This window comes from Homo sapiens, chromosome X, assembly GCF_000001405.40.
Source record: "Homo sapiens chromosome X, GRCh38.p14 Primary Assembly".
NCBI lineage: Eukaryota > Metazoa > Chordata > Mammalia > Primates > Hominidae > Homo > Homo sapiens.
This window is the reverse complement of record NC_000023.11, coordinates 13,787,467-13,802,710: the sequence shown is the minus strand read 5'-3', so window position 1 is coordinate 13,802,710 and position 15,244 is coordinate 13,787,467. Positions and strand designations below refer to the sequence as shown.

The 15,244-nt window shown below is 43.4% G+C and overlaps 1 protein-coding gene across 9 annotated transcripts in view, besides 1 other annotated feature; it reads left to right on the top strand.

Moving 5' to 3' along the window:
* Positions 1-15,244, top strand: part of GPM6B (glycoprotein M6B) — a 167,700-nt gene that overhangs the window by 135,928 nt on the left and 16,528 nt on the right. The window lies entirely within an intron of this gene.
* Positions 92-625: an enhancer, noted in NCBI's record as "NANOG hESC enhancer chrX:13820205-13820738 (GRCh37/hg19 assembly coordinates)". NCBI's record gives its function as "activates a minimal SCP1, AML or CMV promoter by ChIP-STARR-seq in naive H9 embryonic stem cells {active_cell/tissue: H9 hESC(naive)}" and the evidence as "EXISTENCE:reporter gene assay evidence [ECO:0000049][PMID:30033119]".

Sequence of the window (15,244 nt, the reverse complement as noted above, 5' to 3'; positions counted from 1 at the left end):
GATTTTTAGAGTACTTTGCCTTTTGTTTTCTGAAATGTATCAATTCTTTCATTTTCAAAGCACCTGCAGTTTTCACCAAAAAAGTGCCATATACAGCAGTTAACGATTTTATAGTTTATTTACTGACTGCTATGGCAGTCTTTATATATATATATATAAAATAATTTATATATAGCTGTAAACAAATACTTATCGATATAAGTAATTTCTTGATTGTTTTTGAACGTTCCATTGTTTATGCGCTATATTGTTAGTCTGTGATTAGCACCTAATTATGTAACAATGGCTTACTGTGTGTGTGACATATCAGCTCCCTTTGTCTTTTGGTCTTACCTTTGCTTCTCACCTTAGAGTAGGCAGACAGAGAAAGCAGAGATAAAAAGCAGATCGATGAGTATTGAGTGTTGATCTCGGGCTTTCTGTCAGACATGTCTGATTGTAGGGACACTGACTTGGATTATTCAAGACTGAGTACTTCTCGGTCTTTGAGAAGTAGTGTCATCTGGTCTTTGCTGCCTTTGAAATGTCCCTTATGTTATATGTTTTCATATAAATCTAACTAGAGTCCATTAAAATTAATTTTGCTTTGAAATCTTTTGCCACCCTTAGAGGTAACTGGAATTACTCTGAAGTAGCTGGGGAGTAGCTGAAATCAGCCACTTAGGTCTTCCCACCTCCTCAGGCTGTGTCCTTTTGGGTGCCGAAGTTCACTCCCAAATAAGCCACATATACCCTCACCCCCTGAGTGCGTCCACGTCTATGAAAAGCTTATATGAATTGGCTTTTGTACTAAACGGAATGCTCTGGGTGTCAGAGTCATTTAGGTGGGACAAATCTTCCTCTGAAGATCATCATGCTTGTATTTTCTGGAGACTTCCATGAACAATGCTTTCACCCCCAAGGACCAGCTCTAGGGGTGAAATGTCAGGCTGGTAGGAGAGGTAATGGGATCGAAACAAGACTTCCTGTGTCTTGAGAAAACCTTGTTTATATTCATGTGCTGTTTCCCAGTGGCAATAAATCGAGATTCCTGTGAGGATTTGACAGACGAGGCTGGTGATGCCACCCACTGTTTTTGTAAAGAAAATGTTATCGGAACCAGCCAGGCCCATTTGATTGTCTGTGGCTGCTTTCGTACTCCACTAGCAGAGTTGAGAAGCTGCAACTATACACCCTGCAAAGCCAAAAATATTTGCCATCTGGTCCTTTACAGAAAACAATTGCCAATCCTTGAATTAGAATTTGCAAAGTGTGTCAAAATGCAATACTCTATCTACTGATGTTAGGCAACACCTAAAAACTTTGCTCGGCACTCAGTTTCCTAAAATCTTCTCCATCAAACATCCCTCATCCTCTGCCCTCCAGGCCCCAGAATCCTTGTTCTCTGTGGGGAATAGGGACTCCCTGCTCACAGGCTGTCAACTAAGGCTCAGCCCTTCTTCAGAGAATTTCTTGGTACTTTCTAGAAGCTCAGCCCCTCTGGCCTCTTTCAGGTCCTTCTCTGAGTTTTCCCATAATAAACCAAGTCCCGTTAAGTGGATACTGTGAGCTACTTTCATCTAGTGTTCTATTCAGTGCACTTTAGCAAGTTTTATTTCCTGTGTATAGAAAAGATATTTGTGGTTTACTAAATGTAGTGCTGGGGATCATTTCTTTCTTTTTTTTTTTTTTTAAGTATGAGGTTCCAATGCCCTGAATCGGAATCGCTAAGAATGCTGGTTAAAAATTCAGATTTCATATGGGCATGGTGGCACACATCTGTAGTCCCAGCTACTTGGGAGGCTAAGGCAGGAGGATCACTTGAGCCCAGAAGTTCAAGTTCAGCCTGGGCAACATAGCAAGACCCGATCTCTTAAAAAGAAAAATCAGATTCCCAGTCCCCACCTACCCTCTCTGCGATGGGTCCCAGAAATTTGGCCCATTTTAAGAAGCTCCCCCAGGCAATTCTAATGCACAGTAAAGTTTGACCACCACTGCTATATACATAGAAGGCCATAACCCCTCATTATAACATCTTTGGTAAAGTATCGTTTCAGTTCAGCCTGTGTATGTATATGTTCAACCTGTATATGTATTTACAGTTAAGATGCTCAAAGTCAAACCTCCACATCCTTAGCAGACAGTACTATTGAATTTGAAGTAAATTCCTCTTGAAGTAATGTTTCGCTATTGCCACTATATCTTTGTGTATAAGAGCCAATGCAAAAACATTAGATTGTAAAGCTGTAGGCAAACATCAGAGCTCAGGCTGTGTGTTAGTTATCAATTGTTGCATAACAAATTCCTCCAAAACATAGTGGCTAGAAACAAAAATGTATATTATCTCGGCTTCCTTAGGTCAGGAGTCTGGACTCAGCTTAGCTGTCTCAGAAACTCTAATGAGATTTCAGTCTCATCTGAAGGCCTAACTGGGGAAGGATCCACTTCCAAGCTCATTCATGTGGCTACTGGCAGGACTTGGTTACTTTGGGACTGAGGGCCTCAGTTCCTCACAAGCTGCTGGCCTAAAACCTCCCTTGATTTTTTTCCATGTGTGGGCTCTCCATAGCTACTTCATGGCATAGCAGATGACTTCATCAGATAGAGAGAGCAAGTGAGCAGGTAAGAGAATGTGCCAGCCAGAGAGACAATGCTAACAGGACAGAAGTCAATTTTTTGAAACCTAATCAGGGAAGTGACATCTCATCACTTTTGCCATATTCTAGTCCTAAGAAGTAAGCTACTAGGTCCAGCCCACATTCAGGGGAAGGAATTACACAAGGCCATGAATGTAGGTTTGTGGGGATCATTGGGGGTGGTGTCTTAGCTGCCTGCCACAGTCTGTATAAACATTTCACAGTGCAAATGCATCCTCCATCTCCTTAATGATCATAACCTCTTCACTTTCTCAAAGCCTCACCTCTCAGAGAATGTATCACTGGGTTAAATGAGTACCTGGCAGGTGTTTGACGGCCTTCCTGAGGTACTAGACTCTAAGCTCTCTGTGAGCAGAGGTCTTCATGCCTTGCTCCCTGCTTTGGCCTGGCTCGGGACCTAGGACCAAGAAAGCAGTCGTTCATAGTGTTGAATGATGATCACTTTATTTTTAGCACTCATGATGTGTGACTCTATATGAAATTGTCTAATTTTAGTGTCCATTGTGTACATGGCTCATTTCCTGGGCCAGGCTGGTCAAGACCTTGCACTCTGAGAGTTGCATAGGAGCTCAGCAGGTGTTTGTTAAGTAAGTTCAGATTGGCTACTCGTTGTCAGGAGTTTGAGACCAGTCTGGCCAACATGGTGAAACCCCATCTCTACTAAAAAAAAAATAATAATAATAATAATACAAAAATCAGCCGGGAGTATTGGTGGGTGCCTGTAGTCCCAGCTACTTGGGAGGCTGAGACAGGAGAATCACTTGAACCCAGGAGGCAGAGGTTGCAGTGAGCAGAGATTGTGCCACTGCACTCCAGCCTGGACAACAGAGCAAGGCTCTGTGTCAAAAAAAAAAAAAAAAAAAAAAAAAAAAAAAAAAAAAAAATTAGGTTGGCTAATCGAGGTTTCTAGAATCATCTGCATGTAAATAGGGTTAACTTTGTGGGATGATTTTCTTGAATAAGAAGTTCTCAGCCTGAGCTTCACAGTAGAACCCTGGAAGGAAGGGGAGGTCTTTTAAAATTCCGAAGCCACATCCAGACCAAGTCATTCAGAATCTTGAGGGTGGGACCCAGGCATCAGCGTTCTTGAAAGCTCCCCCACCAGGTGATCCTCTGTGCAGCCAAGGTTGAGAACCACTGTGGTAGACCAGTGTTTCCCAATCCGGGGGAGTTTCTGCCTTTCAGGAGATGCCTTTTAGGCATCTAGTGGTGTAGAGGTCAGGGATGCTGCTAAACATCCTACAGTGCACAGGACGGCCCCTCCCCAACAAAGGATGGCCCATGCCAATAGTACCAAGAGTTGAGAACCCCTGGGCTAGGTCCTACGCTTTGAGTCAGGAAATTGGTTCTAAGTGAAGCAGTAGAAGTCCATGGGGTAGCTTTGTCCCAGATGTTAAGCTTATTGCAGGCATGGATAGCTTGATAAGTCTGGAATATTATATACAATCTATGTATCGGTGTTTCCTGAAGAGAAACTCACTCTTTTAAAAGGCACGCAGTGCATAAACCAATACATTTAAACCTACATATATTTATTTATGCAACATAATACCATACACGTGTGTTTGCATATAGCACGTGCTATAAACACCCTATGCATACAGAGATGTATGCAGGGCATATGAGTGTGTTATTGTGGTTAGAGGAACAGGTATGTCTTCCTCAGCGCCCTTTATTTTCCTTCCCCCTCACTGTAGCCTCCTGCCCTCTGCTTGTCTAGTAAAAGCCCTAAGGCCTCCCTGACCCTTGCTGTCCTTACCCTCAGTCCAGAGGATGCCTCTGCTGTGCCTTGCTGCCTGGAGGGTTCCCATCACCCAGGTTAATGTGGCTCTTGGCTTTCACCACCAATCCTTAGTTTCTCAAAGGGGTTCACAACCTTTTTAAATTACTAGTGTGTCTTGTAGAAATTGAACTTCACAAACAGGTCTTCTGAAAACGCTTTCTTGTGGTGTAATTGATATGCATATGGTGCATCTCTTTAAAGTGTCTGACAAGCCTTGACATACGTGTGTGCTCATGAAAGCAGCACCATGAGCAGCATGGCAATGTGGCTGCCACTCCCAACTCTTTCCATCCTTCCTATGCTCCCACTCTCCCCAAGCAACCACTGATCTGCTCTCCTTCTCTGTGGATTAGTTTGCATTTTCTAGAATGGCCCTTGTGAAGATGTGTTCACATAAATTCTCTCACCCTTTCTCACCCGAATAGAAAATGTTGCATGATGTTGATTGCTTAATAGCTCCACAGCTTTGTCCAATTTTTATCCTTCCTGCTTTTACTGAAGATGTCCTGCCCCCATGAATAAACCTCAGAAGACCCATTCTGCCACCGCCTACCACTGAAGAGTTGAGCTTGCACCCACTCCAGTCCAGCCCACACACCAGTGCCAGATTCATCTCTTAAAAGCACATCCTGAGTCACGCCTCGCCTGCTCACAAACCTTCCCTCTCTTCCCCTTGCTGCAAAGTGAAGCACAGAGGCTTGAGGCTGGCTTGGACATCTTCCATGGACCAGGCAATGGGGGGACCTACCTTCCTGACTTCTCCCCACCATTACCCTGGTGTCCTTGATGAACTCGGCTACACCCTGAACGCTCCCCACGTCTCCCACATCACATGGGTCCTGCTGTCCTTCCTTTGTGCTTTTCATGGAATCCTTCTGTTCTTCAAGGCCTCTTCACCTCCTGCCATCCATAAACCTTTGCCTTAGCAACCCACACCAACCAAAGAGATCTGTCCCTACCTCACTCCCCCATATCCCTGTGTCAGCACTCTCTTTATTCTACTTTAGTGATACCTTATGTGTCTGTGTGTCTTACCGCCCCCCTCACCCCACCCACAAGGATCAAAGCCAGGAGGGCACACTTGCAGACCCCACCACAGTGGCTTGCACATGGCAGGTATTGGACAGACACTCATTGAATGGAATGGAATCCAGGAAAGTAGAGACACTGTCGCCCAGATGGTCAAGGAAACTGATTGCTGCTAAAGCTCAAAATTGCAGATATTAAATACTTCTCAAATGTCTGGAGTAGCCTCCAGATTGCTGTGCTCTTAAAATCTGTGTCATCTGGACTTAGAGCTGGCTTCCCCTACTCTCCATTGATCTCCATGATTCCTTGCTGTCCCACTTTACCAGGCTAAAAGCCTTTGGGAAAACCAAAGCCAGTTCCCACAAAAGGCAAAGGAAGAGACTAACAAGTATCTGGTTGTTGGATTTGTTTATTCCCAGTCATGGAAGCGTATCATTGCTTTTATTGACTTGCTTATCTTCTGCTAGTACCATATTGCAAATGTTAGAGGCTCATCTATTTTAAGACTTCCATAGTGTTTTCACAAAAATGAAAATCCCTTATTAAACAGATTTTAGGACAAGCTTCTAAAAGGACCTGCCAAAAAGTGATTTCCTTTCTATCATTAGAAATAGTTTCCACATTCTTATCGTTATGTAGTTGAACTTTTATGTCCAGGACTGCATGAAAGACGTGAGAACTGAGAAGCAACCTATATTTGATTTCGCACTTTGTTCTTGGACAGGAAGCCCCTGTCAACTGACTTCACATCTTTTTAATGCACTATATTAGTGGTTCACAGAACTTTCTGGGTGTTAGGTCCCTTTATGTGCTTAGAAACAGTTGACCCCAAAACGCCTTTGCTCTTCTGAGTTGTGCCTATAAATATTTTCTATATTAGAAGCTAGAACTGAGGGCTGGGCATGGTGGCTCATGCCTGTAATCCCAGCACTTTGGGAGGCCAACGTGGGCAGATCACCTGAGGTCGGGAGTTCAAAACCAGCCTGGTCAACATGGCGAAACCCCATCTCTACTGAAAATACAAAAATTAGCCAGGCCAGCCAGGCACAGTGGCTCACACCTGTAATCTCAGCACTTTGGGAGGCCGAGGTGGGCGGATCACCTGAGGTCAGGAGTTCGAGACCAGCCTGACCAACATGGAGAAACCCCGTCTCTACTAAAAATACAAAATTAGCCAGCATGGTGGTGCGTGCCTGTAATGCCAGCTACTTGGGAGGCTGAGGCAGGAGAATCGCTTGAACCTGGGAGGCTGAGGTTGCAGTGAGCCGAGCTGGCACCATTGCACTCCAGCCTGGGCAACAAGAGTGAAACTCCATCTCAAAATAAAATAAAATAATAAATAAATAAGCCAGGCATGGCAGCATGTGCCTTAATTCCAGCTATTTGGGAGGCTGAGGCAGGAGAATCACTTGAACCCGGGAGGCAGAGGTTGCACTGAACTGAGATCGTGCCACTGCACTCCAGCCTTTGAGTTTTTTAAGATGGAGCGAGACTCCATCTTAAAAAAAAAAAAAAAAAAAGAAAAGAAATTAGAACTGAGAAGTTTATTACTTAATAATAAACTTAGTCATTTAAAATAATAGCAAATCCATTATATGTCAACCTAAGTAATGTTTAGGAAAGATAACGATTTTCAAAAAGAAAATAATATTTTAGTGTGAGGAATAGGACTGTTTTACATTTTTGCAAATCTCTTTAATATCTGGCTTAACAGTAGACAGCTGGACTCTTACATCTGCCTCTGCATTCATTCAGAGGCATCTTGGGGTATCTTGCTTTGGTTGAAGTATATGAAGAAAACTCAAATTTCTCACAGGTATGTGCTTGGAGAATGGAGGAGTGTTTTAATGGCCTTTGCAGATAATTATGAAATTCTTCCTTGATACTACACCAAAATTCAGCAGCTAGTGGTTTCTTAAAGACTACTTGTAATGTGGAATCTGAAACCATATTGATGATATTTTTGTACTCTTTTCCACTAAAATTCATTGCTTGATCTTGCACTTTGATTGACTCTTATATTCAAGAATTATTTTCCCTTGGCTATTTGGAAAATATTGGTTCTCTGAGTTGTGCAGATCTTCCAGACGTTGACACATTTAATTAAACCATGTCAAAAAAATTTCATTGGTTAATGTCACCACCAATTTCATCAAGAAGTCTGGTAAGTATTTGGAAGCTGTCAGTCTCACTATGGCAGGTACAAGTTTTCCAAAATTGATTGGCAACAGATACTATCAGTTGTTTTCTTTGAAGTGACAAGCTGTTCATTTTTGGGAAAGTTTCTGCCAAATACTTAAGTCTAAAAAACTATATCTTGTCAGGCATTCTTTCAAGAAAGGGGGTGTTTGCCCCCAGAAAGGTACAAGTTTGGCTCATAACTCAGTTACATAAGAATGTTTCCTGCAGCCCACTGTCACACGCTGGTTTGTGGTAGAAGGGCTCTCTGCATCCTCTCACTCATTTCATTACACAAACTGTTCGAAAGGCACATACTCGGGGGTTGAGATTTAATCAAATTAATAATTTTTTATTGCATCGAGGACATTTGGAAGTGAAACTGGCTTTTTAATTTATTTTCTTGCGAGCGCGTGGTAGTGAGGAATGTGTTCCTGCTAAGTACACTATGGAGCCACTGCCCGATTCACGCTCAGGCATCAGCAGTTTTACTGTGCAAATGTCAAGCAGTGAAAAAAGTAAATAACATCTTGGTGCTATTATAAAAAGTTTTGGCTTCACAGTCCTCCTGCAAGGATCTTGAGGTCTGCCGGGGCTGCACAGACCGTCTTTGAGGGCCCACTCCTGGCTCAGAGTGAGACTGGTGGGCAGGCAGGATAGAATCTCTTGGGAGCTCAATGTCCTTTCCAGACCTGCCTGAACAGAATCTGCGTTTTAATGAAGTCCCGAGGAGATTTATACGCAGGTTAAAGTTTTCCTGTAGTCCCAGCTATTTGGGAGGCTGAGGCAGGAGGATGGCTTGAGCCCAGGAGGCAGAAGTTGCAGAGAGCTGAGATTGCACTGCTGCACTTGAACCTGGGTAACAGAGTGAGATTGTATCTGGGAAAAAAAAAAAAAAGAGAGAGAGAGAGAGAACCACTGCTCTTTAACAGAGGTCTGCAAAACTTTCCTTTAAAGGGCCACATAGTAAATACCTGTGGCAACAACTCAACCCTGCCTTTGTAGCTTGAAAGTAGCCATAGACCATATGTAAATGAATGAGCGTGGCTGTGTGCCAATACAACTTTATTTATAGACACAGAAATTTGAATTTTGTGTACCTTTCATGTGTCACAAAATAGGTTTTTTAATATATTCTAAGCGGTTAAAAAAGTAACCACTTGGAATCATGTCAAAATCATTCTGAGTTTGCAGGCCATGAGGAGAGCCAGATTTAGCTGGTGGGCCACAGTTTGCTGACCTGTGCTATATAACACTGAGTGCTCATTGAAGTTACCGGGGGAGCTTCAAAAAAACAAACCCCAACCCTCTAATTCCTGAGTCCCGTCCCCAATAAATTCTGATAAAATTGGTCTGGGGTGAAGCCAGGGCATCAGGATTTTCAGATGCTCCCCAGATTATTCCAATGTGTAGGAAAAATGGAGAACCTCTGCTCTATAATGTTTTCCAAGAAAGTTAGTTTTCTTTTAAGCATTTCTTTTTAAGATTTTAGAATTTGGCAGTGTCACCAAATGTCTGAGACCAGAATTATGTATTGTAACCTTAGAGCAGGGTTTCTCACTCTTGGCACTGTGAACCCAAAGCTATCTGAGATAGGTCTCAATCAATTTAGAAAGTTAATTTTAGCAAGCTTAAGAACCTGTGACACAGCCTCGGGAGATCCTAATAACATGTGCCTAAGGTGGACGGGGCACAGCTTACTTTTATACCTTTTAGGGAGACATGAGACATCAATCAATACCTGTGAGATGTACATTGGTTCAATCTGGAAAGGCAGGACAACTCAAAGGGGGTCAGAGGGTGGCTTGCAGGTTATAGGAAGATTTAAAAATTATGTAAAGACCTGGAATCCATAGAAAGGAATGTCTGGGTTATGATGATAAGGGGTTGTGGAGAGCAAAGTTTTATCCTGTAGGTGAAGCCTCCAGGTAGCAGGCTTCAGAGAGAATAGATTGTAAATGTCTCTTAGCAGATTTAAGGTCTGTTGATGTTAATGCTGGTTGGCTTTTCCTGAATTCCAGAAGGGAGGAGGGTATAATGAGGTATGTTTGACTCTCCCTTCCAATCATGGCCTGAACTAGTTTTTTCAGGCTAACTTTGGAATCCCCCTGGCAGAGACCAGGAATCTATTCAGATGGTTGGGGGTGGGGTGGGGGGTGCTTAGAATTTTTTTTTTTTTTTTTTTTTAAACGGAGTCTCGCTCTGTCGCCAGGCTGGAGTGCAGTGGCACAATCTCAGCTCACTGCCACCTCCAACTCCCTGGTTCAAGCGATTCTCCTGCCTCAGCCTCCCAAGTAGCTGGGATTACAGGCATGCGCCACCACACCCAGCTAATTTTTGTGTTTTTAGTAGAGACGGGGTTTCACCATGTTGGCTGGGATGGTGTCGATCTCCTGACCTCGTGATCTGCCTGCCCTGGTCTCCCAAAGTGCTGGGATTACAGGCGTGAGCCACCCCGCCCGGCCCAGAGTTTTATTTTTGGTTTATAGCACTATTGGCATTTTGGGTGTGACCATTCTTTATTTGGGGATGGGGGCTGTCCTGTGTATTCTAGGAGGTTTAGGAGCATCCCTGGCCTCTACCCACTAGATGCCAGTAGTGTCCCCCACCCTCAGTTGTAACAACCAAAACTGTCTCCAGACACCGCTAAATGTCCCTGGGTGGCAAAATTGCCTGGATTAGGAACCAGTGGTCTAAACGATGTAGATGTTTTTTGTGCTACTTCAGAGAATCTCCACATTGGAGCTATTGACATCTGGGGCTGGGTAATTCTTTGTTATAAGAGCATATTCTGTACACTGTGGGTGTTGAGCAGCATCCCTGGTCTCTACTCACTAGATGCCAGAAGCACCCTCTCCCCCAGCTTTGGCAACGAAAAATATCTCCAGATATTGCCAAATGTCCCCTGAGGGGCACAGTCACCCCCTGTTGAGAATTGCTTGGCCAGCTCAGAATCAGGGAAGCTTCTGTCCACTGACATTCACTGCTGCTTCTCTTAGGATTTTCGCCCTCTCCATTTTCCCATTGCTTGTTGCTTGAAAGTTGTAAAGCTTGGTTCCTGCATCTTTTCTTTTTAATTTTGTGGCTCATTAGGAATCAGTAATATAGCAAGGAAGGCCCCATGTAGAGAGGTAAGGGGGTGGTTTTTTTGTGTGGTGTTTGTTGGGGGGTGTTTGGGAGGGTGTGTGTGTGTGTGTATGTATGTGTGACATTCATTCCCTGGGGAAGAATCTGAGCCCTTGTTCCTGCCAGCCCTACGTCTGAGCCAGCATTAAATCTGCAGCCAAGATCACAGACAACTTGGGCAAATCACTTGGCCATTATGAACTCACAGCCATGGCAACGGCCATCCACAAGCCTGAGGACAAAAGGTGTTTTATTCTGTTGTTCTGCACAAAAGGTTCTAGGGATACTGGAGACAAAATAGCCTTTGAGACTTAAAGGCATTGATGTGTATTTTTTTTTTCCCTACTACATGGCTTATATTTAAACTGTCTTAGGCTAATGTACACTGTAATTTTTGTGTGAATCAAAACCTAAAATTCTTTTTATCCAGAGGCCAGCTAAATGAAGGCATAAGACAGCCCAACAGAGGCTTTTAGGGTTTGGTGAGAGGTATTGAGAATTACTAGTAAAATGTGCTAGAAAGCCTGGCATTCTAGCCTGGCCAACATGGCAAGACCCCGTCTGTACTAAAAATACAAAAAATTAGCTGGATGTGGTGGCATGTGCCTGTAATGCCAGCTACTAGGGAGGCTGAGGCATAAGACTCACTTGAACCCAGGAGGTTGAGGCTGCAGTGAGCGGAGATCACACCACTCACTCCAGCCTGGGCAATAGAGTGAGACTCTTTCTCAGGAAAGAAAGAAAAAAAAAAAACCTGGCATTGATTATTATTTTTTTACATGAATACATCACAGTCATCAAAAAAATGCTTTCCTTATTTTTTCTCGTTCACGTTACCCAATGTTGTCATTGCTGGTTTGAAGCTTGGGAAAATTCAGTCTGTGGATTTATAGGAGCATCCAAGAAAAGCACTGATCTTCCTTAGCTATCGTAAACTTTTAACAGCATGGTGTTCTGCTGGTACTTGGCACCACCCCTATATTTAAAAACATCAGCTTGCCTATGACTACTAAGGACAGCCTGAATCCCAGATCTACTTCCTTTTTGTGCACAGGCACTCCCAGCACTTTAGGGGGTGGTTGGAGTGTGTGTGTTTAGAAATCTGCTTTCTCAGGTGACTCAATTCCCGTCTTCTCAGACCCTGTCTATGGCATGACACTAAAGCATGAAAAATTCCAAGGTTAACAGTACTTGTTTGGCTCACAAAAATGCACTCTAGCTGCACTCTTTTCAAGATGGCTGGACAACTTGGAACATTTTGTTTTTCTTAACTGTAGTCCTTGGAACTTGCCATTTGATTCACAAGTGACTGGAGGGTTATGGCCAAACCCAGTGGGCCACGTCTTAGAGAAAAAACATCACACACCATCGAATATGAAAGCAGGCACTTCAAACAGACTCAGGATGCCACACCTGAGACCGGGAAGATGCCACTGTTGACTAGAAATGGGCTTCTCAAATTTTCATGTGCACACAAATCACCCCAGAGGCCTTGTTAAAATGCAGATTCTGACTCAGTCTGGGGTCACTTCCAACATTCTTTATTTCTCACAAGTTCCTCCCTGCTGAAGCTGACACTGCTGGTCCAATGAACACACTTTGCAAAGCACATGGAATTGACAAATGACAAATGGTCCACTCATATCTTTTCTTGACCTCTGATAGTTTTCCTTGTTGCCCAGTAGAAGCTGCCAGCATCCAAGTTCAGCTCTTCTCAGCTACAGATCCATATATCCCTTCACATCATCCAGAGTGATCTTTCACAACCCCAATCTGTTTCCCATGCTTAAAAATGCTCCCTGGCAGACCAGGCATGGTGGCTCACACCTGTAATTGCAGCACTTTGGGAGGCCGAGGCGGGAGGATCACTTGAGCCCAAGAGTTTGAGAACAGCCTGGGTAACATAAGGAGACCCTGTCACTACAAAAAAATTAAAAAATAAAAAATGAGCTGGGTGCAGTGGCATGGGCCTGTGGTCCCAGCTACTTGGGAGGCTGAGGTGGGAGGATCGCTTGAGCCAGAGAGTTCAACACCGCAGTGAGCAGTGATTGTGCCACTGCACTCCAACCTAGGCAACAGAGCAAGACCCTGTTTCAAAAAACAAAACAAAACAAAAAAAAAACGCAGTGGCTTCCCATGATTTTGTTTTTTTTGTCTTTTTGTTTTTGTTTTTGTTTTTGTTTTGAGATGGAGTCTTGCTCTGTCACCCAGGCTGGAGTGCAGTGGTGCAATCTCGGCTCACTGCACCCTCCGCCTTCCGGGTTCACGCCATTCTCCTGCCTCAGCCTCCCGAGTAGCTGGGACTACAGGCGCCCACCACCACGCCCAGCTAATTTTTTGTATTTTTAGTAGAGACGGGGTTTCACCGTGTTAGCCAGGATGGTCTCGATCTCCTGACCTCGTGATCCGCCCGTCTTGGCCTCCCAAAGTGCTGGGATTACAGGCGTGAGCCACGGCGCCTGGTCAAGGCTTCCCATGATTTTGAAGATAAAGTCCAGAATTCTTAAGGTGGCCTGGAAAGCCCTAGGTGGTCTAGCTCCTATATTACCTATATCCTCTAGCTCCTAAATAAACACATTTAGCTTTTTCTTACTAACTTTTTGCAGCAGTTTTGGTTCCTCTAGGATGAGTGTGTGATATGTGACTAAATTGCCCAGTGTTCAAAGATATCATGCACACTGTGACCAGAGGTGGCTTCTATACTGACATAGAAGATACAGTGGAGAGTGATCCATTTATAGATTGTTGGATATCTACCACACATGCAATCTTAACCCTGAAGATAACTGGTCAACCAAGCTAGAATAAGCTCTACATCCAGCTGTATTATGTCCTATAAATTTTTCCCATATTTTATGTCACTAGCTTCTAGTCATGTTGGCTGGCACAGTCCGTAAGAGTTTTATCTGTGCCAGTGGAGCAAAGATGGTGATTTCTGTTCTATAGGAGCCAGGGTTCCTACAGCCACAAATAAAATCATCTGCTGAAAACCTAAGAGCATTGGCATCTGCTGAGAGAGCATGATTCATTGAAGTGATCCCCCAAATTCTTGAGTTCCTGGTTTTCCCTGCTGTTATAAAACTAGATCCACAGCATGAGGTATATACAGAGTCCTTGAGAGATATAAATTGGAGGGAAACTTTAGCTTTGATCTAGTATTGAATTTGGGATTGAACAGCATCATTCTTCTAACCCCACTTGGCTTTTTGAGCCTGGGAGAGCTGTGATATTTCTTTGGAATGCTCTAACCATTTGGATGAAAGACCGTTTGAAGTGGCAACTGTGGATTTGGAAGGATGAGTTCTATCGTTAAAGGGCGAGTGTGCTGCACCATAACACCTAACCCTAACTCCAAATGATGAAAAAGGGTGTGGGTTTAGTTTAAAAATATATATAGATGTATACATCTATATATACACACAGAGAATTAATGAACAATTTTATCTGGTTATATATCAGTGTCACCACATCAGCTGTTTAAGTATTCTGGATACTAGATCTTTCTGTAGAAGGACCCATCCAGTATGAATTATTTGCCCTTCTGATCTTCCCTGTCCCCCTTCTCTCCACTCTCTTTCCACTGGCTCTGCAGGGGTCTGTATCTTTGCCCCCATCATGCTGGACTATAATAATTGTGTTACTTGTCTGCCTGCAGTATTGGATTTATCTTGAAGCCAGAAAGGTATCTTATTTCAGTTTTGTGTACTTGGCACCCAGTAGGTCTTCACAAAATACTGAATTAATGAAATCCAACAGAAAACCCAGTTAGAACCCAGCTCCTGGGTTATAGAAAATCAAATATGTGACAATTCAAAATGTATCTTCCAAAGCAGTGTGTTCTGTGATGATGAAATGTCCTATATCTGTGTTGTCCAATACGGTAGCCACTAGTCCATGTGGCTTTTGAGCATATGAAATGTGGTTTGTGCAACAGAGGACCTGAAATTTTCATTTTATTTAATTTTAAATAAACGTAAATAGCTACATGTCTTAGTGGCTACCATTTTGGACCACACAGCCCCAAGGCCTCACATCTTTATCCTTTAAGAACCAGATACAACTTTGTTAGCCAGGAAAGCAGGCATTCATCTTTTTCTTAACATGATCATAGAGGCTGAGAATGTGGGGAGGTTGTGGATGATACAATACCCATGTCTGTTTTCTCTTTATAATGAGATACGTCAAGGCCAAGGATTCTAGTTTCTCTTAGTTTGGGAACCTGGAGAGAATTTGGACTTTGAGTTGCATTCCTCTCACCTCAGTCCCCAGAAAGTCATGTGACAAAATAAGATTGAGCTCTAACATCTCTGCTCACAAATCCCAAGTGTCTGAAGCTCTTTAAGATACTGACTTGCTAGTGAACTTGAACCATATTGTGCACTGGTTCCCTTTTTCTTTTTTTGAGACGGAGTCTTGCTCTGTCGCCCAGGCTGGAAGTTCAGTGGCGCAATCTCGGCTCACCGCAACCTCTTCCTCCTGGGTTCAAGCGATT